This window comes from Homo sapiens, chromosome 3 (genome assembly GCF_000001405.40).
Source record: "Homo sapiens chromosome 3, GRCh38.p14 Primary Assembly".
NCBI lineage: Eukaryota > Metazoa > Chordata > Mammalia > Primates > Hominidae > Homo > Homo sapiens.
Genome location: NC_000003.12, coordinates 100,706,271 through 100,733,489, shown reverse-complemented (window position 1 = coordinate 100,733,489; position 27,219 = coordinate 100,706,271). Strand labels below are relative to the sequence as shown.

Here is a 27,219-nt window from a genome sequence, read left to right as displayed (position 1 = left end):
TAAAGGAAAATATAGACTTAATGAATGTAAAATAAAGAATCTCAACAGAAAAACAGAAACTATAAAAACCCAATGGAAATTCTAGAGCTGAAAGCACAATTAAACAATTCACTAGAAAGGTTCCACAGCATATTAGAAATCACAGCGACCTTGAAGAGTTCAACAGAAATCACCCAACCTGAAGAACAGAGAGAAGACTGAAGAAAAATGAACCTTAATGACCCATGAGACAGTATCAAGCTCTCCAATGTATGTGTTATTAGAATCCGAAAAGAGAAAAAGCAGGAAAAAATAATGAAGAAATTATAACCAAAAGTTAAACAGAATAAAACAATATAGGTACTGCTTTAAGGTTAAAAACTTATTTATATAAAAACCCACTGTATACTCAAGCAATTTAACAAGAAAATCTACATTTAATTTTCAATTTCTCTAAGATGAGGAGATAAGACAAATCAAATATAATTCGAATACTGCAACTAATCAAATTATAAAATAGTTCAGATTTTTAAAAACTTTCTAAATTTTACTTTCAAAAATTTACTTGAACCCAACAGTGCTTATTCTTTAAGGGGGAGGGTGCTACTCTTGGGGAGAGGACATAAGAAAGCTTTCTGAAGTGCTGGAAATCATCTACATCTTAATCTAGTTAGTCTTTTACATAAGTGTACACATATGTAAAAATTTGTTAAGCAGAACCCTTAAGATTTGTGCACTTCACCATATCCAAGTTATTCTTCAATTAAAGAAAGAAGGAAAGGGAAGAACGGAAAGATGAAGGAAACGAAGGGTGTAAAGGAGTTGGAAACCAACTTACCTGAAACCTGATCATCTGTTAAGCCAAACGCTGACATAACATTTTTATTGATTTCATCTTGGTTTTTTAAAGGATCAAAAGCAGACATACTTGCTGCCATAACCTGAGTAGACTGTTTTCCAGAAGAATCAGAAGCAGACTTTTCTTCCCTACCATCCACAGTATCTGTAAAAATAGAGGAATAAACAAAAACTTGTTTCCTTTTTATCTATATTCAGTAAGGCCTAAAAGTACAAGGGAAATAATGCAGGTGTATAATGATAGTCTGGAATGTTAAGCATGTCGGAATATAGGATTACAGATCATTTTAATTCCTTTATTTTTTTTATATTTTTCCTTCTAGTAACAGGGAGAAGAGGGCAAAAAGAAACAGAAGATGAACAAAAGCTTTCCAAAAAAATTATTTACCTCCTTTTGTAAGAAACATTAGATGAAAAAAATACAAGCTCCTTGATAAAGAGAAACATTTTACTTTTTTTGGTTTTTTTGGAGCCCAATAACCTATATCCTAGTATCAGATACCCACTGGGCACTCTGGAAATAATAATTATAGGAACTAAGGCTTTATTTTATAAAAAGAAACTGAACTAAGGTTATAATCTCAAATTTTACATTTTATTTCTACTGTCTACTGGTCCACTATTAAATTACATGGAAATCAAGCCAACCATAATTAATTCATAATCTTCCATAAATAGCACATTAAAAACATTTTTGAATTTGCTACCTTCTATTTTAATATGTATTACTTATTAAAATACTTATTAAAATGCTTACAGATGAAATGATGTATATGGGATCTGCATCAAAATAATACAGGAGGGGAGCCGGGTGCAACAGCTCATGCCTGTAATTCCAGCACTTTGAGAGGCCGAGGTGGGTAGATCACTTGAGGTCAGGAGCTCGAGACCAGCCTGGCAAAACCCAATCTCTACCAAAAATACAAAAATTAGCTAGGCACAGTGATGCATGCCTGTAATCCCAGCTACTCAGGAGGCTGAGTCACGAGAATCACTTGAACCCAGGAGGCAAAGTTTGTAGTGAGCTGAGATTGTACTCCACTCTGGGTAACAGGAGGGGCGGAAATGTGTATAGTGTAATTATATGATACTATAAGTTGGTAACTGTTGAAACTGGATGTGGGTTTCTGGGATTCATTATAATGTCTACTTTCTTATATACTTAAACTTTTCTATAATAAAATGTTTAAAACAACAACAGAAAAACAAAATGTCAAATATTATGAGCAGGTTAAATTTAAAATCATGCTTTTCTTCTCAGGATACTAAGATATTCCACAGGCATTTATACTACTGTCTTGTGAAAGAAAAAGAGTTCAAGAATTTTAACATACATTTTACAAATAGGAATCCAAGTCCAAGATACAAAAGACATCAAAAGAAACAAACAAAAAACACGAACAAGTAAACAAAAAGACTGTTGCTAACCATTTACTCAATTAAGGGACAATGATTATCACTTTTGTTACCAAGCAAGTAAATGAACATCAGTTCTTAGATCACCCCTGTAATCAATACAAAATGTATCTTCTGAAAAAAATGTTAAGTGCTAAACCGAATATAAGTACCCACAGCACACACTGGCTGGCAGCTCATTCATTCCTAACATACCATTCCAGGCTACCCTAATATTTTCTAAATGTTTGGAAAAAGAAAACTACTACTAGAAGTATTCCTTTAAAACATGTCTACCAGTTATCTATCTTCCCTACCAACTTCCTTCCTCTAATCCCAAGAGCATACCACGTCAGTCTTACAAGTTGTTTCCCCTCACATCTCACTACCTATGCCTCTTTTCACTTATCACAAACTAAAACCATCAGGAAACATACTATACGTCCTACTACTTGCTCCATTAGCTGCTGGAGATACTGCAACAGGTCAATCTTCTATCTAAGGTAGTTTACACATCATTTGCCTCTTAAAGGAAAACAAGCATCCAAGAACCGCTGTAATAGAGAGCTGAAGACCACAGGTGGCCACATTTCTTGGTGAGGGTAAGCCACAGGTTCTAAATAGCACTGATAGCTGATTGGCAATTTCATTTTGTGGACTAGATTTCAGTTTCTGATGTATGGTTTTCTTGTTGTTTTTGTTTTCTAAAAAAATAAGAACTATCTCTAAAAATATAATGCAGATTGTATTATTCTTATATCATCTTATCATCAGATATGTCAGACAGGACACAATAACTAGAAAATGGCCATACAAGAAAACAACATATGGCATGATTTCCAAAATGCAGAGAAGAAACCAATTTTAACACCTTTTACATTAACATAGGTAAAAAGCTAACAGTATGTATAAAAAATATAGACACAAAGAATAAAGTATAAACAGTAGCAAGAAAGAGGTGAGGAAAAAGTTTCACCTAAAGCAAAAAACTCATAAATCCATTCCTTAGAGTAGAATGTGGGCCACTGTAGCTAATTTCTGAACAGTATTGGCTATACTGGTTAAATTCTCATCTACACTTCTTAATATTCTGCAGATGGTTAAATCCCCTGAAATTATATGCAAATGTTGTGTCAGCATCTATGAATTCTTCTGGAAAAATTGTCTAACTTTTTCATTGATTCTTGATCTAAAATTGGAAATTTTTGTTTGGAGAGGTAGGGCTCAGAATAGGCAACCTTCTTTGACCTGAAATATAAAAGGTTTCATCATAAAGTGACCAAGAGGATCTCATTATAGTATTCAGCAAATCTCCATTATGTTCTGAAATAGAAGTGCAACTAGGAATAATCAATCACCAAATATTTATTAAACATCTATCATTAACATAATTCCATATGACTATTAGAAGACAGGAAGAGAGAAATGATGGAAAATACATCTTTATTTAAACTGTAACTAAAATAAAAATAGAAAACAAAAACTTCCAAAATATTTAGTGGCCAAAAATAGAATACATACCATTTATCCACAAAAATTATCTCATGTTAAGCCCTTTATATGCAGTCATCCAGTCTAGACTTTTTTTAAATTACTATTTCACAATATGGACAGTTTTAAACTATGAAAATTATAAGCAAACAAAGAATTTGTAAAAAGAAAAAAATAATAATAAGAGTTTTCTTTAAATGCAACATCTAAGAATCTTAAAAGAAGAAAGCAGTTTTTTAACTGTACTTTCAAGTCATTAACACATACTTAAAGTTCAGTCCACATTTTAAAATACATTCGGTCCCAAAATTATGTCAGTTCCAAATGTTGACACATTTTGCTTTATCTTAACACAAACAGTACATGTCATTATACAATGGGGAAAAAATTAGTTTTTCTTTAATTATTATTAAAAACTGTGTTTCAAATTTACAACATACCATTTTTAATGAACATTACTAATCTAAGTGATTTTTAGTTGAAAATACTTCCAACACTATGTAATTATTCATGAAATGATTTTCAATTCCCAAGGTTCATTACTTATCTATTATACTAAAAAGGGTTCATGTGTCAAAAGGATTTGAAAACTGACCTGTGTAACAAATCCAAAAGTCTAAGACTAGTTGCGAAAGAATCACCCAAAAAACACTTTAAAAATGGGATTTCCAGGTGCTACGCTCCAGTAGGTCTATGATGAGATCCAGAAATTGGTATAATGAAACCTCCTAGTAATTCTGATGAACAGCAAAGTTTAGGAACACAGACATAAATACTAGTAGAGAGGCAGAGGAAGAAACAAGAGTGACATTGGGGATGCCATCCTTCTCCTACTTAAAAAGAGTTTTTTAAAACCTCCAAAAAGACGTAAGAACAATAAGTCAGAATACAATGGATTCAGGGTTTACCATTTTCAGGAATATTGGTGGAAGGTCCTGGTTCTCCAGGTGGTTCCAAGCTATCCAATAAACGATTCACTTTATTTCGAAGTTCTATCAGTTCTCGACGGAGATATTTCACCTGACTTGATTCAAGGGGTCTTGGCTGGCCATTAACTGAAATAAAAACATTTATTTGCTTAAAATTAGAAGTTCATGAATAAGTATACTAATAATATGCAACAAGGAAAAATAAATACAATTCCTTTAAAAAAACAAAAACAAGATATCAATGTAATGGAGTAACTTTTTTTTTAAAAAAAAAGAATTCTCTATGGCTAATAACTTATTTTGGAAAAAAAGCAGAATTATCAGTCTTTCTTGATGCCATACCTATAGCCTATGACCTTACTGGTAAAAAGGTTTGGTAGGAAAATCCGAGCTCTACTTTTTAATAGAAATGATTAAATTTAATAAAAATCATAACTTCAAAAGCTCACTTTATTTCATGCTGTTCTTAAATATTTATTAAATTTAATAGAAATTATTAAATTTAATAAAAATTATATAACTTAAAAAGCTCATTTTATTTCACGCTATTCTTAAAATAATACAAAAATACCTTACTCTATACATGTTTAAAGATATAACATGACTGATAGGTCTGTTATCCCTCTTGCATAACTTTGTCTTGAAAAAAAACAGCTAACTAAAATAGCTGATCTTAAAAGAAATCGTTAAAAAAATATATGCAGGGCCAGGCATGGTGGCTCACACCTGTAATCCCACCACTTTGGGAAGCCAAGGAGGGAGAACTGCTTGAGCCCAGGAGTTCAAGAAAAACCTGAGCAATACAGTGAGACTTCATCTCTACAAAAACCTTAAAAAATTAGCCAAGTGTGGCAGCACATGCCTGCAGTCCCAGCTACTCAGGAGGCTGGGGTGGGAGGATTGCTTGATCCCGGGAGGGGAAGTCCAGTTGGCTGAGATCACTCCACTGCACTCCAGCCTGGATGACAGAGGGAGACCTTGTCTCAAAAAATTTTAAAAAATAAATATAAATTTAAAAATATATGCAGAACTTATCTACATCATGACTGTCCTTCAAAGCAGTTACTTCCAGAAACAGTATATAAGCCACAAAATGCCAGAGATTACTCGGTAATCTCTAGTTGTGATTTTTTAATGAAAGCAACATTACTTCACTTATTATTCATTTTGTCCAAATGATTTTCAGTTGACTGAAAAAAATGAAATCCTTCATTCAGCAACAAACACTGTCACCACTCAGGTTATTTTTAAAAAGAAAGTGACACAAGGCTCTGATTGCAAACCCCAAGACAGGCGTTCAAAAATTAAACTAAAATGCTTTGCACATTGCCAGTATACATACATACAAACTCCTGAAGCACCTAATTAGAAAAGGACATCTACGTGAAAATAAAAGTTCAGGGCGATTCTTTGTTAAACATGTTTCAAAATCAAACCACCAATTATAAGCTTTTAGAAGAAAACTCACAGTAATTCACATACTCCCTGCATAGCTATGAAGTTCAATACAATCTCCTACCTACATCAATTATTGGTTTTCACTTGGTATTACTGTTTTTTCTCCAATATTTGATGAGAAAAACAGCTCCTAGCAGCCAGAAACTGGTCTGGTACAGTAAGACAGGCCTTAGTGTTGCTGGAAGCTGGCCTGGCACTCACAGGTAGGCTGTGGTGTTCTCCCGTTGAATATAAATATTTCAAAGAACACCAACATCACACAAGACTATAATCTGTGATAGATCAACAGTCCATAACCATGTCAAAACTCCAGACAAAAACAAGAACACTGACCACACCAGAAAAATGACCAAACAACCTTTTATCCTGGCTAATATGAGTAACTGCTACTACTTTACCAACTGCAGCTTTAGCCTCAATTCATTCCTCTCACCTTCCAGATAAGATTTAGTAAGATTCATTCCTCTCACCTTCTAGATAAGATTTGATAAGATACCCAAACATAGAATCATCTCTACTTCCTGAGAGCATCCAATGCAGAGCAAAGCTCTACTTCCTTGAACCTTATCCAAAATCAGGTAACACAAACCCAAGCCCAAAAAAAAATACTTTTCTAACATACTTGTAAGACATCCTATTGTTCTCCGTGGTATTCATTCTCCCTTGCTGCAGTAAGTCAGTAAACCCAACTTCATTCAACTACAGGTGTGTTCCTGGTGGTCTTTGGAGCACACTGATACATCTTACCAGAACTTTTAAGAACCTTGCATTTACATTCCTAGTATGGCCTATAATCTGTTATTATCTACTCAGTGGGTTTAAGAGCACTAAGCTCCAAATTATACTCAATTAAAAGTTTAAATTAGCTAAGTTTAAATTAATTAAGTTAATATTAGGTGTCAGCTTGATTAGAGTGAGGAATGCCTAGATGGCTGGTAAAGTACTGTTTCTGGGTGTGTCTGTGAGGGTGTTGCCAGAGGACACTGACATTTGAGTCAGTGAACCAGAAGAGGAAGACCCATCTTCAGTGTTGGTGGGCACCACCCAATCAGCTGCCAGTGCAGCTATCACAAAACAGGCAGAAGAAGGTAGGATAAGTTTGCTTGCTGGGTCTTTAGCTCGCTCTCCCTCCTATGCCAGATGCTTGCTTCCACTCCTCCTGCCCTTGGACATCAGACTCCAGGTTTTTTGGCCTTTGGACTCCAGGGCTTGTACCAGCAGCTTCCCAGGGGACTCTCAGGCCTTTGGCAACAGACAAAGGCTGCACTATCAGCTTCCCTGGTTTTCAGGCTTTTGGACTTGGACTGAGCCACTGAGCCACTATCAGCATCAGCTTCTCTCTTTCCCCAGCTTGCAGATGGCCTATCACCGGACTTCGCCTTGTAATCACCTTGCAATTCTCCCTAAAAAACTCCCATGTATCTTATTGGTTCCATCCCTCTGGAGAACCCTAGCACACATAATAATGTATCTTCATTAGTGTGAATATAATCATAAGACTTTAATGAACCATTTCAAGCACACAACAAGATAAACTTACTAAACACCCATCTTTGTTAAAGCTTAATATGTATTTATATTTTTTTTGAGACAGAGTCTTGCTCTGTCACCCAGACTGTAATGCAGTGGCCTGATCTTGGCTCACTGCAACCTCTGCCTCCCAGGTTCAGCAATTCTCATGTCTCAGCCTCCCAAGTGGCTGGATTACAGGCACGCACCACTACACCCAGCTAATTTTTTTTTTTTTTTTTTTTTTTGTATTTTTGGTAGAGACGGAGTTTCGCCATGTTGGCCAGGCTGGTCTCGAACTCCTGACCTCGTGATCTGCCCACTTCGGCCTCCCAAAGTGCTGGGATTACAGGTGTGAGCCACCGCACCTGGCCAAATCTTAGTATTTTTTTCATCTTTGCTCCTAACCACTAAGAAATGAAACAGCATAGACATAATTAAATCTCCCAGAGTACCTTTCCTCAAAACCCATTCCCCTACTTGATTTTAAAAAATTTTATGTTTCATCCAAAACAATCTTGCCATGTTAGATTTATCCCAAGTATCTTTTGTTGTATATAATTATAATAGGTATTTTAGTTACATTTATAATCCTTTTATATTAGGCATACAGCAGTTGTTCTACGTAATAAATGCCCCCATATGAGGTAAAAGAATTCCCTTTTGGCCAGGCGTGGTGGCTCATATCTGTAATCCCTGCACTTTGGGAGGCCGAGGCAGGCAGATCACAAGGTCAGGAGATCGAGACCATCCTGGCTAACACGGTGAAACCCCGTCTCTACTAAAAATACAAAAACAAATTAGCCGGGCGTGGTGGCAGGTGCCTGTAGTCCCAGCTACTCGGGAAGCTGAGATGGGAGAATGGGGTGAGCCCCGGAGGCGGAGCTTGCAGTGAGCTGAGATCGCACCACTGCCCTCCAGCCTGGGCAACAGTGAGAGACTCTGCCTCACAAAAAAGAATTCCCTTTTATTCATAGTTTGCTACGACTTTTCAACATGATTGAGATATGAATGGCTTTTCTTTATCTAGAGATGATCTAGTTTTTCTCCTTTAATCTGTTTTATGGAAAATAGTATGTGATTTTCTAATTTAAAGCAATCTTAGACTCCTTGGGTGAGCAATTTTGACACTGGTGTGTTTAAATATTCACTGATGAGTTTGATTTGTAAATATTACTTAATATTTTCTATCTATGTTCATACGTGACACTGGTTTGCATTTTCCTTGGCTGGTTTTCATGTTAATGTTATATTAACCCCACAAAATGAATTAGTGTATATTCCCTCTTTGCCTATGCTCTTGAATAGTTTGTATAATTTAGAATCATCTGTTCCTTAGATATTTGGTAAAATAGTTGGCCCAATTTCTTTAATGTTAATTGGGGCAACCAATTTTTCTACTTCTTGAAACAGTACATTAAATTTACCTAGGATACTGTCCATGTCACCTGAGTTTTCAAATTTAAATAAAGGAATTCATGGTATATATAAATTTTTAAAGTTTCTACTATAAACTTCATTTCTAACATTGCTTATTTGTGCCTTGTTTCTCCTTAACTAATCCTCATAAAGATTTGCCAACTGCATCTTTTCAAAATTGTTGATCCTAACAATTCCAATTTCTAGTTCACGTCTGCTCTTATTATTTCCTTCCAAGTTATTTGAGGTTTGTCCTTTTGTAACTGTTTGAATACCTTGCTCAAAAATTTCCAATCCAGTTTACTAATATAAAGTATTTAAGGCTGTAAGTACTACTCTAAGTACAGCTTTAGCATTCTCTAAAAACTTGGTTACATAGAAGTCATTATCTACTTATTTATAATTCCCATTATTATTTCTTCTTTGACTTATTTAAAACCATATTTTGTCTCCAAAAGTAGGGAAATTTGGGTTACATATTCTGTCCAATAGTCTCTAAAGAAGCCAGAGAATATGACCTTTAAGATATCTAATTATCTGTTACATTTTGGGATTTTCTGGAAGACTTGACTTACAGTCAACTTCTATAATGCACTATGAGTACTCGAAAAAAAAAAAAACTGTATTTCTCCCTAACTGCTAGATGTACAAGACCAACGCTGTTTGAGCCTGCTTGATTTATCGGCTCTCCCATAATTGTAAATTTATTGATTTCTCTTTGTTCTGTCAATTTTTCTTAGGGGAAAACATCTAAAGCTAACATGCATAAGTGTTCAGATTGCTATATAGTCCTAGTGAATTATTCTTTTTATCATCATAAAGTGACTATTACTACTCAAGTTTTTATATAAGTCTATTCTGTTAATAACCAGCTTTCTTTGCATTTGTCTAGTCTCTTTTCCTAGCCCTTTACTTTCAAGCTTTGCATAATAATCTTTTATGTCTCTTGGAAGTAGCATGGAACTGGATTTTTTTTAAAATTCCATTAAGAGATTATTTTAACCGATATATGTAGTCAATTTCTGTGTACTGTGATTAGTATTCTGTTCTATCTATTGAGCTTTCTACCTCTTTTATTCCGCCACCACTTTCTACTGAACTGAACAGGTACCCTTGTTTTCTTTTTTTCTCCTTTCCTGACAATGTCTAATTTTTCAATTATAACTCTTACATGTACACCATGCATACTTCTGCATATGTAGTATGCAATTAAAAAAATCTAAAGGTAATTACAATGTTCCTCCCAAATAAGTCCTTAAAATATTTTTATTCCTATCATCCCTTCCTTTCTTACATATTATTGCCCAGTATTTTTGTCCCAAATTGTTTTTATTCCCTAAGACTATTAATTTTGTAACAATCAATGCTCATTAAAACGTACACATAAATTTCATTGGTGCTTCCCAATCCCCTGACAGCCCAAGGTTTAAGAGTTAAGCTTCCTTGACTTTTTCTGTATCAATGGAAAAGCTTTTCTAAAATAGTTTTTGAAAGCATAGCCTACTGACCAAGCAACAGTTTATCTGCTCACATTGCTTCTTGCATCTTTCACCACCTTCTGGACTAAATTTCCTTCTTGATGAAGACCACTGTTAAAAATTATTTTAACAAGGGTCCATGAGTGGTAAATTCTCAGTCTTTCAAAGTATTTTTACTTCTCCTCATTCGTGAAATTTAGTGGAGTATAGGATGCTACTTTTCTAGTTATTTTTCTTTACTGTTTGCAACTGTGATAATACTGTCTTTTAGCCTCTATTATTACTATGAAGAAGTCTACTAACAGTCTAATTGTTTCATATGTGATCAGTCTTATTCTCTCTGGCTACTTTTAAGGTAATCTCTCTGTCTTAAGACATTTTCCAGTTTCATGACAATATGTCCAGTGGGGATTTACTTTTACTTATCCCTGCTCAAGGCTCCCCGTGCCTTCTGAATCTGAGGGTCTATAGCTTTTATATAACTCTGAAAATTTCTTTAGTCATTACCTCAATGTATTTCCACTCTCCCATTCTCTCCTTCTTGAAACTCTGAATAGAAATATTCTGGATGTTCTCATTTTCAACTTCTCTTTTGCCTGTGTTTTTGTGCTTTACTCTGTAATTTCTTTGGATTTCCTTTTCAGTTCACTAATTCTCTTTTTAGCTATGACTAATGTGTTTAACCTATCCACTTAGTATTTAATTTCAATGATTATATTTCTCATTTCCAAGTTACTTTAAGTTCTTTATAAAATCTGTTTATTGTTTTTCCATAATACAATAGCATCTTGCTCTTATGTTCTCGTTTTGTTTTGTTTTTTCTGAGATGGAGTCTCACTCTGTCACCCAGGCTGGAGTGCAGTGGCGCGATCTCGACTCACTGCAACCTCCACCTCCCAGGTTCAAGCAATTCTCCTGCCTCAGCCTCTCAAGTAGCTGGGACTACAGGCACACACCACTACAGCTGGCTAATTTTTTGCATTTCAGTAGAGATAGGGTTTTACCGTGTTGCTCAGGCTGGTCGCGAACTCCTGCACTCAGGCAATCCGCCCGCCTTGGCCTCCCAAAGTGCTGGAATTACAGGCGTGAGCCACCACGGCCGGCTGCTTTTATATTCTTATTCCTTCTTCTATGTCTTAAATAACTTTTAATTTTGTAGACTATCACATATCTTAACTGAAGTTGTTGAAAATCTAATCCTGCTATTAGTTGTGTCCAGTGGTTCTTGCTTACCTGACAGCTTCATGTGTCTTACGGTTTTGTCTGTGAGAAACCTATGTGACCTGGATTGAGAATATACCCCTCAAGAGAGATTTTGGCCTTTCTTCTGAGATTTTTCTAAAATGGTAACATCTGGGCTTGGGAGTTACCAAACTACATGGATAGTTTAAATTTAAACCCAACTCACCTAAGGACCACAATTATGAATCCTGAAGGGAGACTTCCCAAGCCCCTGACGGCCCAAGGTATAAGAGTTAAGCTTCCTTGACTTTCCCTGTATCAAGGTAGACTTTTCTAAAATATTCTTTTTGAAAGCATGGCCTACTGAGGGACTAGGACCAAGGGCCTACACCATGTAGACACCAGATGGCAATTCCTTAAATTATGCAGGCTAAAATCTCTACTATCACCACCAAGAACACCCCAAGTTTCAGCTTTTGGTACATCAGGCCTTTAGTTCCCTCTACTTTTTTGTTCCCTGGATATTTCCCTTACTTTCCTGTGCAAGCTGAGTTACAGAATTCAGAAAACACATTTGTAAGTTTATCTAGCAGATCCTGTTTAAAGTAAGGGTCTTCAGATTATCTAATCTGCTTTATGCCTAGTCAATAGTTAAGTATTTTACATTCAATACTGTAAAAAGATACCTTTATTTTAAATAATTTTAAACAGTTTTTGTTATTAACATTTAAATTCTGATTATTCATATTCATCCTTCCTAGATGGAGATGAAATAGATACAAATTAAATCAATAGACCATGATCATATTTCACACTGAACTCTAAGTTTCATGCAACAAAATTAAAAAAAAATAAAATTAATGCTAAACAAAACAACAAAACAGCCGGAAAAAGTGTACACATTTTATTTTTCACATAATCACACTACCATTTAACTCTGTAATCTTTTCTATCTTGTCCCTTAAGAGTTCTGCCTTGCATATCTATTAAGATCTAAAAGAAAAAATCTAAAAGATTAAAATTAGTCTTCTATTGGTTTTTATCAGAACTATTTTTAATCTTTAAGTACCCCTCGGGAAATACTGTCTAAAGCAAGGGTCCCCAACCCAGTGCTACTCTGTGGCCTGTTAGGAACCAAACCGGGCTGGGCAGCACAGCAGGAGGTTAAGTGGTGGGCTCCGCCTCCTGTCAGTTCAGCAGTGGCATTAGATTCACATAGGAGTGTGAACCCTATTGTGAATTGCACATGCAAAGTGGAAGAGTTTCATCCCCAAACCTTCTCCTGCCCCCTTCCATAGAAGAACTGTCTTACACGAAACCAGTTTCCAGTGCAAAAAGGTTGGCGACTACTGGTTTCAAGTATCAGACTTACATGTTAAGCCCTGATAATAAGTAACAACATACTGTAATGTGAAGGAAGATAATTACAATTTAAAAATTCTAATACAGCTAAATTAAAACTATAATACTGCACCAGGGATACCTAAGTTATACCTGATTTCAAAAAAAACATACTTAACACTCTGTTCTTACTGAATTAAACTTCTATCATTTTCTTAAAAACATACACAGCCATAAGCTTCAAGTAATCTAAAACAACTACCTGAACACAAATAAATGTAATAATATTTGAATAAGTTATTGCTTACCTGAGTCTTTAAAAGGAAAAAAGCCAAACATCTTTAAAATACAATGAATAAAATAGTAAATTCATTAGAAAGTTTACTACTCACCAAATAATGTCAGTTTCAGTATCCTACTGCACTGAATTGCAAAGGAAAGGTCAGAACTATCAAAAATTGTTATAAGATCTCCATCTGGAATTTAAAAAAAAAAAAGGTTGTTTTTTAATTTTTTAAATTTTCAGATTTGTATAAGCAGTAAACTAGTAAAAATTAAAAATCCAAAATGTAGATTGTAGAACATAGTTGGACTCTCCCATAGAAACCTTAAACTTTAAAGGTCTAGCAAAAATGCATTTGTTCAAAAATATACTAAATCAATTTTGCTTATTACTCTTATGGCAAGGTATTTACACATATCCACATGAAAAAATACAGCTAAAGTGAATCCATTAAGTGCCTTAATATTTATTAGTCACTAGTAAGAGATTCATAGAGAGCAATATCATAAATTGTTGGTTTAGACTGAAATCTTTTCATTCCAAAAAATTTACATCTTTTACCAAGAAATAAAAAAGTTTCCCAAAGTTCAAATCTTAATCATAGGTAGAGTAAAACACTACTGTTGCAAAACTGCTTTAATGAATGGATAGACAGTAAATTCTTTCAGGTCACTGACCATTTTGATATTAAGATGAAAACAATCAACTCTCCCCAGAAAAATATTTATATATTCAAAACAGTGTGTATTTATGACCGTGAAATCCCCCAGATCTCAGGGATAAAGAATGCTATAATTGGCATACCAACTGTGTGTCTCAAAAGCTTTCAAAGGGCTAAGGGAAAAATACATTCTCTAAAGAAAGCAAGAACAGAAAAGCAGCCAGAGACAAGGAGTTCATCAGGGACCTCTGCAGGGTGTCTTCACAAACAGTTGGGTGGGGAGGAGTTCTGTCCTGGGGAGGCCACAAGACTACTTCTGGGATGCTCTGCTGCACCTACTTTAACACTAATTAGTTGGATTTATTTTGGGCAAAGATGACAAAACTGAGAATTTTATAACTGTTTTTAGCTCCTTATAGCCAGACCCACTTCCCATAACATACTTGTTTAATGTTCAATTTTCATAAACACATTTTTTAAAGAAAATAAAGTATGTATGTAAAAGAAGAAAACTTCCTGTTCTTTTTTTCTTTTCTGAATCCTACAACAGAAACAGAGTATCTCTGATGGCAGGAACTTTACCTAAGCCATCCCTCCACTCTACTAACAGAATCTAACGGACACAAATCAAAACAATCAAAAACTTTTTGGCCAAGTGCGGTGGCTCACACCTGTAATCCCAGCAGTTTGGGAGGCTGAGGTGGGCGGATCACCTGAGGTCAGGAGTTCGAGACCAGCCTGGCCAACATGGAGAAACTCCGTCTCTACTAAAAATACAAAAATCAGCCGAGTGTGGTGGTGTGTGCCTATAATTCCAGCTACTTGGGAGGCCGAGGCAGGAGAATCACTTGAACCTGGGATGTGGAGGCTGCAGTGAGCCAAGATCACCCCACTGTACTCCAGCCTAAACGACAAAGCAAGACTTTGTCTCAAAAAAAAAAAAAAAAAAAAAAAAAACCATGAAATACAAAGTTGTAACTAAATGTGGAAGACAAACTACAACGAGGACACCTCAAGCTAAGGGTCCATGAACTGTGACCAACGGACAAAATCCCTGTGTTGTTATAGGTCTGTGAATGAAAAATGGTTTTTACATTGTAAAAAAAAGATGAGACAGAGGCCTTATGTGACCCACAAAGCTACAATATTTATTCTCTCTGATCTATTAAAGAAAATGTTTGCTGACCTTTGCCCTAAACAGTAGTTAAGAGAAAGCCAGTCAATGAGGTCAGTTTGAGATAAAGGCAAAGCATCTTCAAGTGGGAAAAAAGGCAGTTAAAGGCCAGGCACACTGGCTCATGCCTGTAATCTCAGTACTTTGGCAGGCCAAGGCAGGAGGATCGCTTGAGCCCAGGAGTTCAGGACCAGCCTGGGCAACACAGTGAGACCCCCATTTTGATAAACATTAAGAATAAGAAGCTGAGTGCAGTGGCACATGCCTGCAGTCCCAGCTACACGGGAGGCTGAGTTGCAAGGACTGCTTGAGCCCAGGAGTTCAAGGCTTCAATGAGCCATGATCACACCACTGCGCTCCAGCTTGGGAGACAGAGCAAGACCCTGTCTCAAGACAAAAAAATAAAAAATAAAAAAAAGACAGTTAAGCAAGTACTAGCCAGAGCAATTATGCAAGAGAAAAAAATAAAAGGTATCCAAATTGGGAAGGAAGCAAACTGTCCCTGTTTGCAGATGACATAATCTTATATAAACAAAAACCTAAAAACTCTACCAAAACCCTTAGAACCAATAAATGAATTCAATAAAGCTGCCAGAAACAAAATAAGTACACAAAAATAAGTAGTGTTTCTATACACATACAATAAAAAATAAAAAATGCAATCCCATTAACCACAGCTACAAAAATTTTTTTAAATATCTAGGAAGCAGTTTAACCAAGAAGATGAAAAACCTCTACAAAAAAAAAAAAAAACACTGATGAAAGAAACCAAAGAGCATACATATGTAATGACATCCCATGCTTATATAAGAACAAATATTGTTAAAATGACAAAATTACTCAAAGCAATTTACAGATTCAATTCAATCCCTATCAAACTACCAATAAAATTATTCATAAAAATTTAAAAACAAACCATAAAATTTGTACAGAACTACATACAACCCCAGACAGTCAAAGCAATACTGAGCAAAGAACAAAGCTGAAGGTGTCACACTTACTGACCTCAAAATATACTACAAAGCTGTAATAAGCATGGACTGGCACAAAAACGGACCCACAGACCAACAGAACTGACATAAAAACAGACCCATTGACCAAGAGAACAAACACATAGATCAATAGAACACATAGAACAAAAGAACATAATCCATGTTATCTATAGCCAACTGACTTTTGACAAGACCACTCATTAGGAAAAGGATAACCTCTTTAATAGGTCGGGAAAAGATTTCATGAATAAGACCTCAAAAGTGCAGTCAATAAAAGCAAAAATAAATATGATTATCTCAAACTGGAAAACTTTTCTGCACAGCAAAGGAAACAATCAAGAGTGAAAAGAGAACTTACAGAATGGGAGGAAATACAACTACTCATCTGGCAGAGGATGAATATTCAGAATATAGAAGGAACTCAAACATCTCAACAGCTAAAAAACAATCAATCCGATTTTAAAATCGGCAAATGATCTGAACAGACATTTCTCAAAAAAAGACATAGAAATGGTCAATAAATATATGAAAAAATGCTCAAAATCACAAATCATCAGGGAAATGCACACATATCAGGAAAATGAAGACCACAACAAGGTTCACCCCAGTTAGGATGGTTATTATCAAAAAGATAAATAACAAATGCTGGCAAGAATGAAGAGAAAAGGGAACTCTTACACATTATTGGTAGGAATGTCAACAGTACAGCCACTAGGGAGAACAGTATGAAGGTTCCTCAAAAAACTATAAATCGAACTAACACACAATTCAGCGATGCCACTACTGAATATTTAACTAAAGGAAAGGAAACCAGTATATTGAAGAGAAATCTGCACTCACATTTTACTGCAGCACTATTCACAATAGTCAAGATATGGAATCAACCTAAGTGTCTAACAACAGATTAACTGATAAAGAAAATATGGTATATATACACAATGGAATACAATTCAGCCATAAAAAAGAATGAAGTCCTGTCATTCACAGCAACATGGATGGAACTGGAAGACATTAAGTTAAAAAGATACCACATGCTCTCTCTCATATGTGGAAGCTAAAAAAAGTTGATCTTATACAAGTAAAAAGCAGAACAGATGACAGTAGAGGCTGCAAAGGGTAGGGGAAAAGAGGGATAGGGAGAGATTTATTAAAAGACACAAAAGTACAACTAGATAGAAGTAGTTCCAGTGTTCTATAGCACTATAGGATGACTACAGTTAACAATAACATATTATATAATTTCAAATAGCTAGAAGGAGAATATTGAATGTTTCTAACCCAAAGAAATAAATATTTGAGGTGATGGATATGCGAATTACCCTGATCTAATCCCATTATATGTAATGAAACATTACTATGTACCCCATAAATATGTACAATTATTATTTGTCAATTAAAACAAAATTTAAAAAAAAAAGTACTCTTGGGACTTTGCTAAAAAAAAAAAAAAGTTAAAAATCTGAATTGTAGGCTGGGCATGGTGGCTTATGCCTTTGGGAGGCCGGGTTGGCAGTATTGCCTGGGGACAGGAGTTAAAGGTTATGATGAGCTATAATCATGCCACTGCACTGTAGCCTGGATGAGAGTGAGACCCTGTCTCAAAAAAAAAAAAAATTCACTGATCAAATTAAGACACACATTTCAAAGTCACAGAGGTGCAAATCAATGTATGATAAGCATAAGAAAACAGGAAAAAAGTACTATCCTTTATTGTTTCTTAACATGGGCAACTCTCAAAAATTTGTTTTGGGTATTCTTAGACTACACATCACAAAAACAAAGGAGAATTATACCTTTAGCTAGATGGTCAATTTAACTGATCACCAGTGATTTACACTTCTCCTCCACAGTATAAGTTGTGCTAAGTGGCTGCTCAGCCAGGGACTATACTTCCCAACCCATTTGCATCTTAGCAAAGCCATGTAACTGGGTACTGACCAATGTCATAAGGGCAGAAATGACATACAACACCATCAGGCCTAGTGAGTAAAATCTCCCATATGATTCTTCATACTCTGTCTTCACTCATCTGCTTGCCAATGTCAATGCCTATGGTGAGCTTATAAGCCATGTGTTGAAGGTAACAGCTTCTTTCAACCTGGATCCCTGAAAGATTTCTCAACTATTAAACCACTCAGATTTTAAGATTTCTATTATATCTGCTGGCATTACTTTAAGCCCAACCCTAACACAGACAGAGAAAAAACTGTTAGTGATAAGAAAACTAGGTTAAGCAGTGTCAGAGATGTTAAGAGGTAAAAGTATTTAAAAACAAGGATGGTGTGGGTAGCAGTGCTAAACAGTGAGGTCAAGATTAAATACACTGCAAGTAAGTTCCACAGTAAAAAACACTGGTAACCACCTAAAGAGAAAATTTCAGCAGAGATATTAACAAAGAAGGCAGGTTGAAGAATAGGAAATACAGTCTACTACTATAATTCTACTCAGTGTGTTTGCCGAAACATTTTTCATTCAAAACCTATTTCCATAAAGATAATTTTGTCAACAAATGAGTCTGGGAACACTGCATACTACTAACTTCTGAAAATGTATATAAGCATATTACATAATCTGAAAACTCCTACAATAAAGAAACACTTTTGTCTTTGTTTAAACCAGCTTTCCCTTACTTAGTTGACCATAAAATCCTTTTTCATTCAATACATACTAAAACCTTTCATTTCGGGAAATAAGAATAGAAAAAAAATTTTTTTAAGCTAAAAGAAACCAGAATTATATGGACAAAAGGAGAAAATAATGCTTGTAAAAAAAATGTATGTGAAAATGTTCTAACACTTAAAATTCCCTTCTAATAAACCAATTAGCTATTTTTTTTTTTTTGAGACGGAGTCTTGCTGTGTCACCCAGGCTGGAGTGCAGTGGCACGATCTTGGCTCAATGTAAGCTCCACCTCCCGGGTTCAAGTAATTCTCTGCCTCATCCTCCCGAGTAGTTGGGATTACAGGCGCACACCACCACGCCCAGCTAATTTTTGGTATTTTTAGTAGAGACAGGGTTTCGCCATGTTGGCCAGGCTGATCTTGAACTCCTGACCTCAAATGATCCGCCTACCTCGGTCTCCCAAAGTGCTGGGATTACAGGCATGAGCTGCTGCGCCCGGCCCCACTTAGCTAATTTTAACTGATGAGAGAATTATAGTAACTATAGGAACATCACATTCAATACAAGAAAGTGAGGTCTCAACTACCGTGAAGAGAGGATGGGAAAGAGTCCAATAAAAATGGGCAAAATAACACATACAATACTTAAGACTTTAAGGTCAGGCATGGCAGTTCATGCCTGTAATCCCAGCACTTTGGGAGGCCGAGGCAGGATTGCTTGAGCCCAGGAGTTTGAGGTGACACTGAGCTATGATCACACCACTGTACTCCAGCCTGGGCAACAGAGGCTCTGTCTTTTTTTTTTTTTTTTTAAAAAGACTTTAAAAAATAGCTTTAAAAACACTCTTACCTTCATCTTTATACTTTATTGTTACTTCATCATTACTCAGAAGTTTTCCTCTGAAAACTCGTTGCATCATTAGCACTAATTCATCATAAGTAATATCTTCATTATGAATAGGAATTCGCCGAATATCCTCCCCAAGTTGAGCTTTGATGATTAGCTTCCCACTTAGATCCAACTGTCCGTTCATGGTGGACTCCAGGATGTTCTATATATACAACTCTAGAGAAAGACTGATAAAAGTGGTTTTGATAATTAAACAACAAAACATACCGTAAAAGTTGAGAGCAAAGCTACTATTAGATGCTAAGAAACTCTAGCCTCCAAAAGATTCATTATCCCCATGTTACCATATTTATGTTAAAATGGTCTGGAGGCAACATTATTTTACTGTAGGGATAATAAAATAAGCTTTTATTTTACGTCTACTATTATTTTTTCTCATATTTAACTGTTCATCTGACATGACCATTTAGATTTTTCTTAATATATCTAAAAATAAATTCCTGATCTTCCACCTAAAACCTGCCTCTCCTAGAGGCTTCTTTATCTTCCTTCGAGTTGTATAAGACAAAAAAATCTTGGTTGATCTCTCTCTCTCAAACCTTACATCCAAACTGCCAAGAAAATATGGTTGCCACTGCCTTTAAAATAACTCTGGGGTCCAACCACTTCAGCACCTTCACTGCTATCAACTTGATTCAAGCCACCATCATCACTTGCCTAAATGACTGGAAAAGACTCCTAACCAGTCTGCCTGCTTTTTACCTTTGCCCACTTTTAATCTAGTCTCAGAACACCAGAGTTAACACTGTTAAGTAAAACCTAGTATCATTCTGTTCAAAACCTTCCAATGCATTCTCATCCCAAAAAGCAAGACCTATAAAATCATCTGGCCTCCAGTCCCTGGCCAAGTATTTAACTTCATTTCCTACCTCTCTTCTTCACTCACCCCTGCTATTCCCATACTTCAAGTTTTCCCTTTGTCTTGACCCTTTCTGATACCCCTCATATGATTCAGATTCCTTATCAAGTGTTAACTGAGAGAGATCTTTCCTAACCATCTAATTTAAAATGGCTCCCCTGGCATTATCTTCTTATCCTGCTTTATTTTTCTTCAAAGCACTTAACACTACCAGACATTAAAAATTTATAACATTTTATTGTCTTTTCCACTTGATGGTAGGAAGTAAACGATTATGTTTTCCATATTCCCAGAGTCTACAACAGTGCCTAGCAGACAACAGTCATTCAACAGCTATTAAATAAAGGGAAAAATAATGGATTAATATCTCTTCTTCTCAAGGCCAAGATGTTCCTGAATGTTATCTATAATCGCTGAACATTTTCCAAGCATAACTCCTTCCTCCTCCTGCCCCAAGAAAATGATCTCTTGAGACTTTTCAAGGTATCCTACAAACTACTACTGGCCACATTCTAGTTTCAACTTCCCGCCTTACTACTAGCAGCTTTCTGCTTCCTCCTCTTAAATCTGTTATTTCATTAACACCACACTTCTCTGCAATTATTCTTTATTCTTTCGGGGTATGTGAAAGCACTCACCTACTCCCCCAACATATCAACCCTTCAAGTACTTCAAAAAAGTTTTCATGAATCCTATTATATGAATATTATATATTAATGCCCTACTATTCTTCATATAAATACGCTAGGTCCTTCCATCTAACTAGTCCTTAAATTAATATCTCTAGACCCCTCACCATGCTCTCAACAGATATTTTATTAATAAATCTTCAATGAAATGGGTCATTAAAACTAAATATAACACTCTAAGGTCAATGCAGAACAGAGTGAACTGCATTCCACTCTAGGGATGCCATGCTTATCTTAATGCAAAATAAGAATACAGTTAGCTTTTTATCTGCCAGTTCTCACAATGGACTTCTCGTGAAGACAGTGATTAACAGAAATCTCCACACAACCAACTCTTCGCCTTCTGCAATGCCTTCTGCAATGCTTTCGGTATTCAGGAACTACTTATTAAATACCTACTATGTGCCAACTCTAAAGTATAATTACTTCACCAAGATGGTAAATATTCCATCTTGCTTGCTCTGGCAGCCTAAGAGTAATAAAGACCTTTCAATAAATCAATGTATTTGTTACCTTCTCCTTCCTACAAGAAGTGTAAACCAGCAATAATGTAAAAGGAACCAGTGCTTAGCTTCAGTGAGCTGGTACTATCTATTCCCAGCAGCACCTAGAAAAGTGCCTGACATATAGAATTTAAAGACTTTGTTTAAATTTTTTAATTATGGGAGAAGAAAGCTGTAATATAGATCAGTTTTTACATCCGACCCCTCACACTGTACCTTCTTTATGTAGCTAGAAGTGACTTCCATCAGACACACTCCTAATTAAGAAAAAAATTCCAGCTTTGAAGATAATTGATGGTATGTCCTTCTGACTGGGGTACGGGTTTGTTGCCCAATTTCAATGGATTTAAAATTTGAGGGCCGGGCACGGTGGCTCACACCTGTAATCCCAGCACTTTGGGAGGCCGAGGCGGGCAGATCACGAGGTCAGGAGTCCAAGACCAGACCGATCAACAGGGTGAAACCCTGTCTCTACTAAAAATACAAAAATGAGCCAGTTGTCGTGGCGCACGCCTGTAATCCCAGATACTCAGGAGACTGAGGCAGGAGAATCGCTTGAACCCGGGAGGCGGAGGTTGCAGTGAGCTGGGGGATCACGCCACTGCACTACAGCCTGGGCGACAGAGCCAGACTCCGTCTCAAAAAAAAAAAAAAATTGAGTCACGTATACTTTCTATCTGCCGTGTTTACCTGCAAATTCACTTTTTGTGTTTCCTATTGACTGTAAACATCTTGTGGCCAGGAACCAGTGCTTCTTTCCTAAAGCTGTCGTTTGCTCTTGCAGTCATCTCCCCAGAGTAAACACAAAAGTATCTCAAAAGTAAGTGTGCAACAAAACTTTCCCTTCAAGGGGAAATCCCAACCCAACATTACTTCACATACAGAATTCTGGTACTCATTTTCTCTTCCAAAGTAGAGACTGGTATTAACTAGTTCCTAGAACTGCCAGTAGGAGCCCTACGACAAGCTCTTCTCCCATCTTGTCCTTGCCCCGCCCCCTCTGAAGTCCAGAAATGACTCGGCTTCTAACTTGTATAATATAACCCTCTACCAGGTACACTTTTCTCAGCACTGGGAATAATCTGACACGCCCAAGGTCATATAAAAAGCCTGCCTCCTGAACCAGGTTCTAGGTTCGGCGGACAAACTTCTGGTTCTACTACCTCTAAGGGTAAGACCCTGCTCAATTTCAGAGGCTGTGGCTTAAGCACCTCCTGAGGGGAGCAGTTTCCTTCAAGAAATACTAAGCCAAGTCAACCTGTAATTATTCTAAAGAATGCCAAGAGGCCTCAAACCCTGCCTCAAAGGCAGTGCAGCAAGACGGTAAAGATTCTCACTACTAGCTATGTGATCTTAAGTCCTCCAAGGCTCACTTTCATCACATTCGAAATGAAAACAACCATATCTGAATTTGGAGGAATCCTTGTGATGATTAAATGAGACAGTGCATCCAAAATACTTACTGTAGTGTCCAGCAAAGCAAACTCTTAAAGTTAGCTAGAATCATCACTATAAACCAGGCTGGGCCTCCAGCCGGCGCTTGATTAAGCGCTGACTTAGCCAAGGAACTAGGCTCCGATTCTATGACCCCAATCAACTTATTCCCGTAGGCGCCACTCCACACCCTTCCGAGCTCCTTCGGGTATTGGGCGCCGGCCGCCCCAAACCTCCCAAAGCCCCTCTCCTCTCAATCCAAACGCTTGGAGGCAGGCTGCACCAAGGCATTAGCTGGCGCACTCCCCTCCCGGAGCCCCCCAGGCGCGCCTCCTGGCCACCGCAGCCAGGGGTTGCCTCTCTCCCCTCCCCCTCCGCGACCTCCCTTCCCCTCCCCCCATGCAAGGCCCCGCCCGCCCTCCCCCCCGGCCTCGTCCTCCCTCCCACCCCCTCCTCCCTCCCACCCCCTCCTCCCTCCAGCCCCTTCCCACAGTGCCTCCGACCCCAGCTGCCGCGCGGTTCGAACGAGGCCCTCCCAGCGCCTCCTAGTCTCCCGGCCTCCTCGGACAGAGCGCCCGCAACCCCCGTCTCCAGTGGCCATACCGGCTTGCGGAGGCCGCGGCCGCCGCCTCTCCGCAGGTCTCCGCTGAATGGGCGGACGCGAGGCCACTGGACTGGGGCGTCGCGGGGAGGCGGTGGTCACGGCCCCCTCGGTTGCCCTTCGCGACCGCCGCACCTCGCTCGCAGGCTCGCGCGGGCCCCGGCCAATCGCGCTGACCCAACAAGCCTAGCGAGAACTTGGGCTCTGTACGTGGCAGGTGGGGGAAGAACAGAGGCGGGAGCAAGAAAAAAAAAAATGTCCTTTCGCCCCTCCTTATTGCGCGTGGACATACCCAGGACGCATGCGCGACGGCGCGAGGCGCAGGGCTGGCTGGGTCCCGGCTGCCTAGGCCGAAGAGTCCCTGCTTTCTCACTGGATGACGGGATTTAGGAAGCGTGAGCTGCCCCGATGCACGCATGCGCGGGGCGTGACCACGCACTTCCGGTTTTCTCGAAAGCGGGTATTTCCGTTTCTCGCCAATGGGCGGGGCGTAGTGCGCTGTTCTAAACTTTTTGAGAGTTGGTTGCAGTAGACGTCTGTCCAACTTTAAGTGGTTTTTGTCGTTATTGTTGACCATTGTAGTAACAGCTGAAAAAGAAAAAACCTTTTCTTCTATAAATCCATTCATTCATTATTGGGAGCCTATGCTTTGCCAAGCCCGGTTCTAGGAATGGGGGTGAATCATTTTGTGAGCAAGGAGTTTCCAATTAAGCAGGGAAGACCTACAGCGTTTATGAGCAAGGAAAATCTGTAACTGTGTAAAGGACAAAAGCTGGGAAATTAAGGCTAAAGATTCCTGAGTGATTTTTAGAGGATAAGGCATTTGAGTGTGTCCTACGTACTCTTCCCTTCTCCCTTACCTGTTCAAATAGAAATACAGTATGAGTAAGTAGGAATTTATAGCCAAGGGGTGGAAGTCGGTCAGTGGATGGAAAATTACTAAGAGGAAATATCAGGGGCAAGGGAGATTCTGGCTAAACCAACACAACAGGATTCTAGACGAAGATAGGCCAGGATAGCAGACATCACCTGGGGGTGGTGGAGGATGAGGAACCCCATCAAGGGTGAGGGATTCTCACTACACTGCCTTAACAAGGTTCTTTGCTGAAACTGAGTTTTACAAGAAGATGCACAGATGGTCCTAGGAGAAGGCCCAGGAGCCCGAAGTTTGGCCAAACGGAGAATGTTTGTCACTTCTAAGGTGGAGACTAAGCTGATAAATAAAGCATTTAGACCCTACCTGGTCTCCAGTTGTTTACCAGTTATAAAAGAAAAACTTAAGCTGAATTAAATTTAAAGGAGTTTAATTGAGCAGTGAACGATTTCACGAATTGGGCAGCCCCCAGAATCACAGCAGATTAAGAGACTCCAGCAGAGCCACGTGGTGGAAGATTTATAGACAAAAAAAGGGAAATGAGGTACAGAAATTGGCAGTGAAGTACAGAAACAGCTGGATTGGTTACAGGTTGGCGTTGGCCTTATTTGAACACTTAGCAGTCTATGAGTGATTGAAGTGTGGCGGCTGGAATTGGCCAAGACTCGCTTATTGTAAGAGACGCATACTTCTAAGTTAGGTTTTCAATCTTGTCTGTTAAGCTAGGTTACAGTTCATCCACAAGGATTCAAGTATAGATGTATGGAGTCCTTCTCAGGCCATATTTAGTTTGCTTTAACACCAGATACTCCTAAAGGACCTGGAGTAAATTCTGGTGTTTCAGGGTGAGAAGCTACGTTCTTTTACAACCATAAGTAGTGTGATCTTTTTCAGTTATAAGTCTCTGAAACTTCTGTTTGAGAGTGAAATAATGTAAGTTTACACTGTTCACTTCTGATTTGTATTTTCCAACAGTTGTATTGACCTTTGAGCAATTGTTTGCAGGGATAAGGGAGTGGAGTACTGCAGAAGAAATGAAAAACAGTTCCTAATTGCTCTCCAAAGAATGTTATTCATTGCTTATTTTTTAAAACTGAATAATACAGATTTGGGGAGATGCACTGCTGTCAGATAATAGTATTATGATGTCATTAAGATGGTTTGGGATGGGGTAAAACCACAACCATATGGCAAAGGTAAAATATTCCCTGAAGGAAGTGAATTATACTACTGTTATAGTAGTATATTTAAACTAAAAAGAGGTCAGATCCTGAGGCAGGAGATAAGGAGGTGAACCTTGGCCTATTATAAGGTGAAAAGAGTATCTGCTGAGGATCCCCAGTGAGGGGGCACTCAAGAGTCCTGCTACTGAGGAGAAATAAGCTGGTCCCTGTTACACTGTGGTCATCTGTACGCTAGGAAGAGAGGCACCCATAAGCTGGCCTTGTGGAAAAGCTGGAGCTCATGGAGCTCATGGACTCCGAAAGCAACTTGAGGCTCTTTATGTTGTAATTTCCCTCATGCTTCATCCCGAAGCCATCAGTAAAGTCTTCTTTATGGTAAAGCCTATTCCCAGCTACTTCTGTGGAACTTGAGAGGTGGGGTTCTGGTGATTTCTCAAGTCGAAGCTGATGCACATCTATGTACTTAAGCTCCCAATAAATACAGGTGATATCTAGTGACAGAGCCATAACCTGAATTGAACCAGTTACCTCACTTACAAGAAGATGGGTCTCTTCTACTATGTCTGTAGATACATACTGGCCTTCTTTTCTGCATCTAGATGAATTTGGTTTTAAATGAACACTGAGCATAGTCTTGAACTAGAAAATACTACTCATTTCTTCCAAGGAACTGCTAAGAAAAAAAAGAAAAGAAAATACTGCTTAATGGTAGTATATTAAAGTTGAGGATATGTGAAGGAAGGAGAAGGAGTGCAAGGAAATATCTTTGACCCAGACTGTAGCAAGGAAAGATATGAGATTCTGCACTACACAGGTTATTTTCCATGTTTCATCTGAAGAAGGGTTAAGACTTACACTGTGATTTTAAGAGAAGGAGTCAACCAACCAACTTAGCTACCACCTGCTCTTTCTCCCTGAAAGTCTGTGTAGCTAAAACTCCTCACATGGAATGGGGGGAAAAAATCCTAAGAATGAAAACGGGATTCTCAGACTGGACAAGAAATGAGACAAAGACTATGAGCCCTGTTAGCAAGTTAGATAAAATCTATGTTTCATCATGTTCTTCTTTAGTACTTAGTATAAATCATTTTGAAAATTTGAGTCATCTTATATGTCCTCAGAAGAACAAAGGAAAGCGTGTACATTCCTCCTTGGATGAGAATTTCCAACGAGAAGTTATGTCCCTTGCCAAGAATCAGCTCTGTTGTGGCAGCAGCTAGCTAAAAAAAGAGAACTCCAAACAGAAGGGGAATCATGAGGACCAAACAGGAGCCAGCTAGTCAGCTCAGCCTCACCTTCACTGGCTAAATGTAAAGATTTGCTTGTGTGAACATAGGAAGCTGCCACCCTATGCAGAGATAATGAAGGAGAAAGGAACGATTTCTTACTTTGTAC

The 27,219-nt window shown here is 37.9% G+C and overlaps 1 protein-coding gene across 12 annotated transcripts in view, besides 3 other annotated features; it reads right to left on the bottom strand.

Moving 5' to 3' along the window:
• TFG (trafficking from ER to golgi regulator) overlaps window positions 1–24,200 on the bottom strand; it is a 39,678-nt gene extending 15,478 nt beyond the window's left edge. For 2 of the 12 annotated variants that reach the window (NM_001007565.2, XM_005247066.3), the window contains exons 1-5: window positions 24,059–24,200; window positions 19,621–19,847; window positions 13,432–13,515; window positions 4,632–4,778; window positions 818–982 (exon numbers count right to left, since the gene is read on the bottom strand). In NM_001007565.2, the coding sequence (NP_001007566.1) occupies window positions 818–982; window positions 4,632–4,778; window positions 13,432–13,515; window positions 19,621–19,804 (580 nt within the window). In that variant the 5' untranslated portion in view covers window positions 19,805–19,847; window positions 24,059–24,200. Of the gene's footprint in view, window positions 1–817; window positions 983–4,631; window positions 4,779–13,431; window positions 13,516–19,620; window positions 19,848–22,421; window positions 23,565–23,668; window positions 23,997–24,058 lie in introns of those variants that run through there. The other 10 variants (XM_006713472.2, XM_017005527.2, XM_047447243.1 and 7 more) reach the window with 7 other exon arrangements.
• Window positions 22,646–23,536: an enhancer, noted in NCBI's record as "NANOG-H3K27ac-H3K4me1 hESC enhancer chr3:100428798-100429688 (GRCh37/hg19 assembly coordinates)". NCBI's record gives its function as "activates a minimal SCP1, AML or CMV promoter by ChIP-STARR-seq in naive H9 embryonic stem cells {active_cell/tissue: H9 hESC(naive)}" and the evidence as "EXISTENCE:reporter gene assay evidence [ECO:0000049][PMID:30033119]".
• Window positions 23,537–24,428: an enhancer, noted in NCBI's record as "NANOG-H3K27ac-H3K4me1 hESC enhancer chr3:100427906-100428797 (GRCh37/hg19 assembly coordinates)". NCBI's record gives its function as "activates a minimal SCP1, AML or CMV promoter by ChIP-STARR-seq in naive and primed H9 embryonic stem cells {active_cell/tissue: H9 hESC(naive and primed)}" and the evidence as "EXISTENCE:reporter gene assay evidence [ECO:0000049][PMID:30033119]".
• Window positions 23,670–23,899: a silencer, noted in NCBI's record as "silent region_14575". NCBI's record gives its function as "represses an Ori minimal core promoter by ATAC-STARR-seq in GM12878 lymphoblastoid cells {active_cell/tissue: GM12878}" and the evidence as "EXISTENCE:reporter gene assay evidence [ECO:0000049][PMID:35858748]".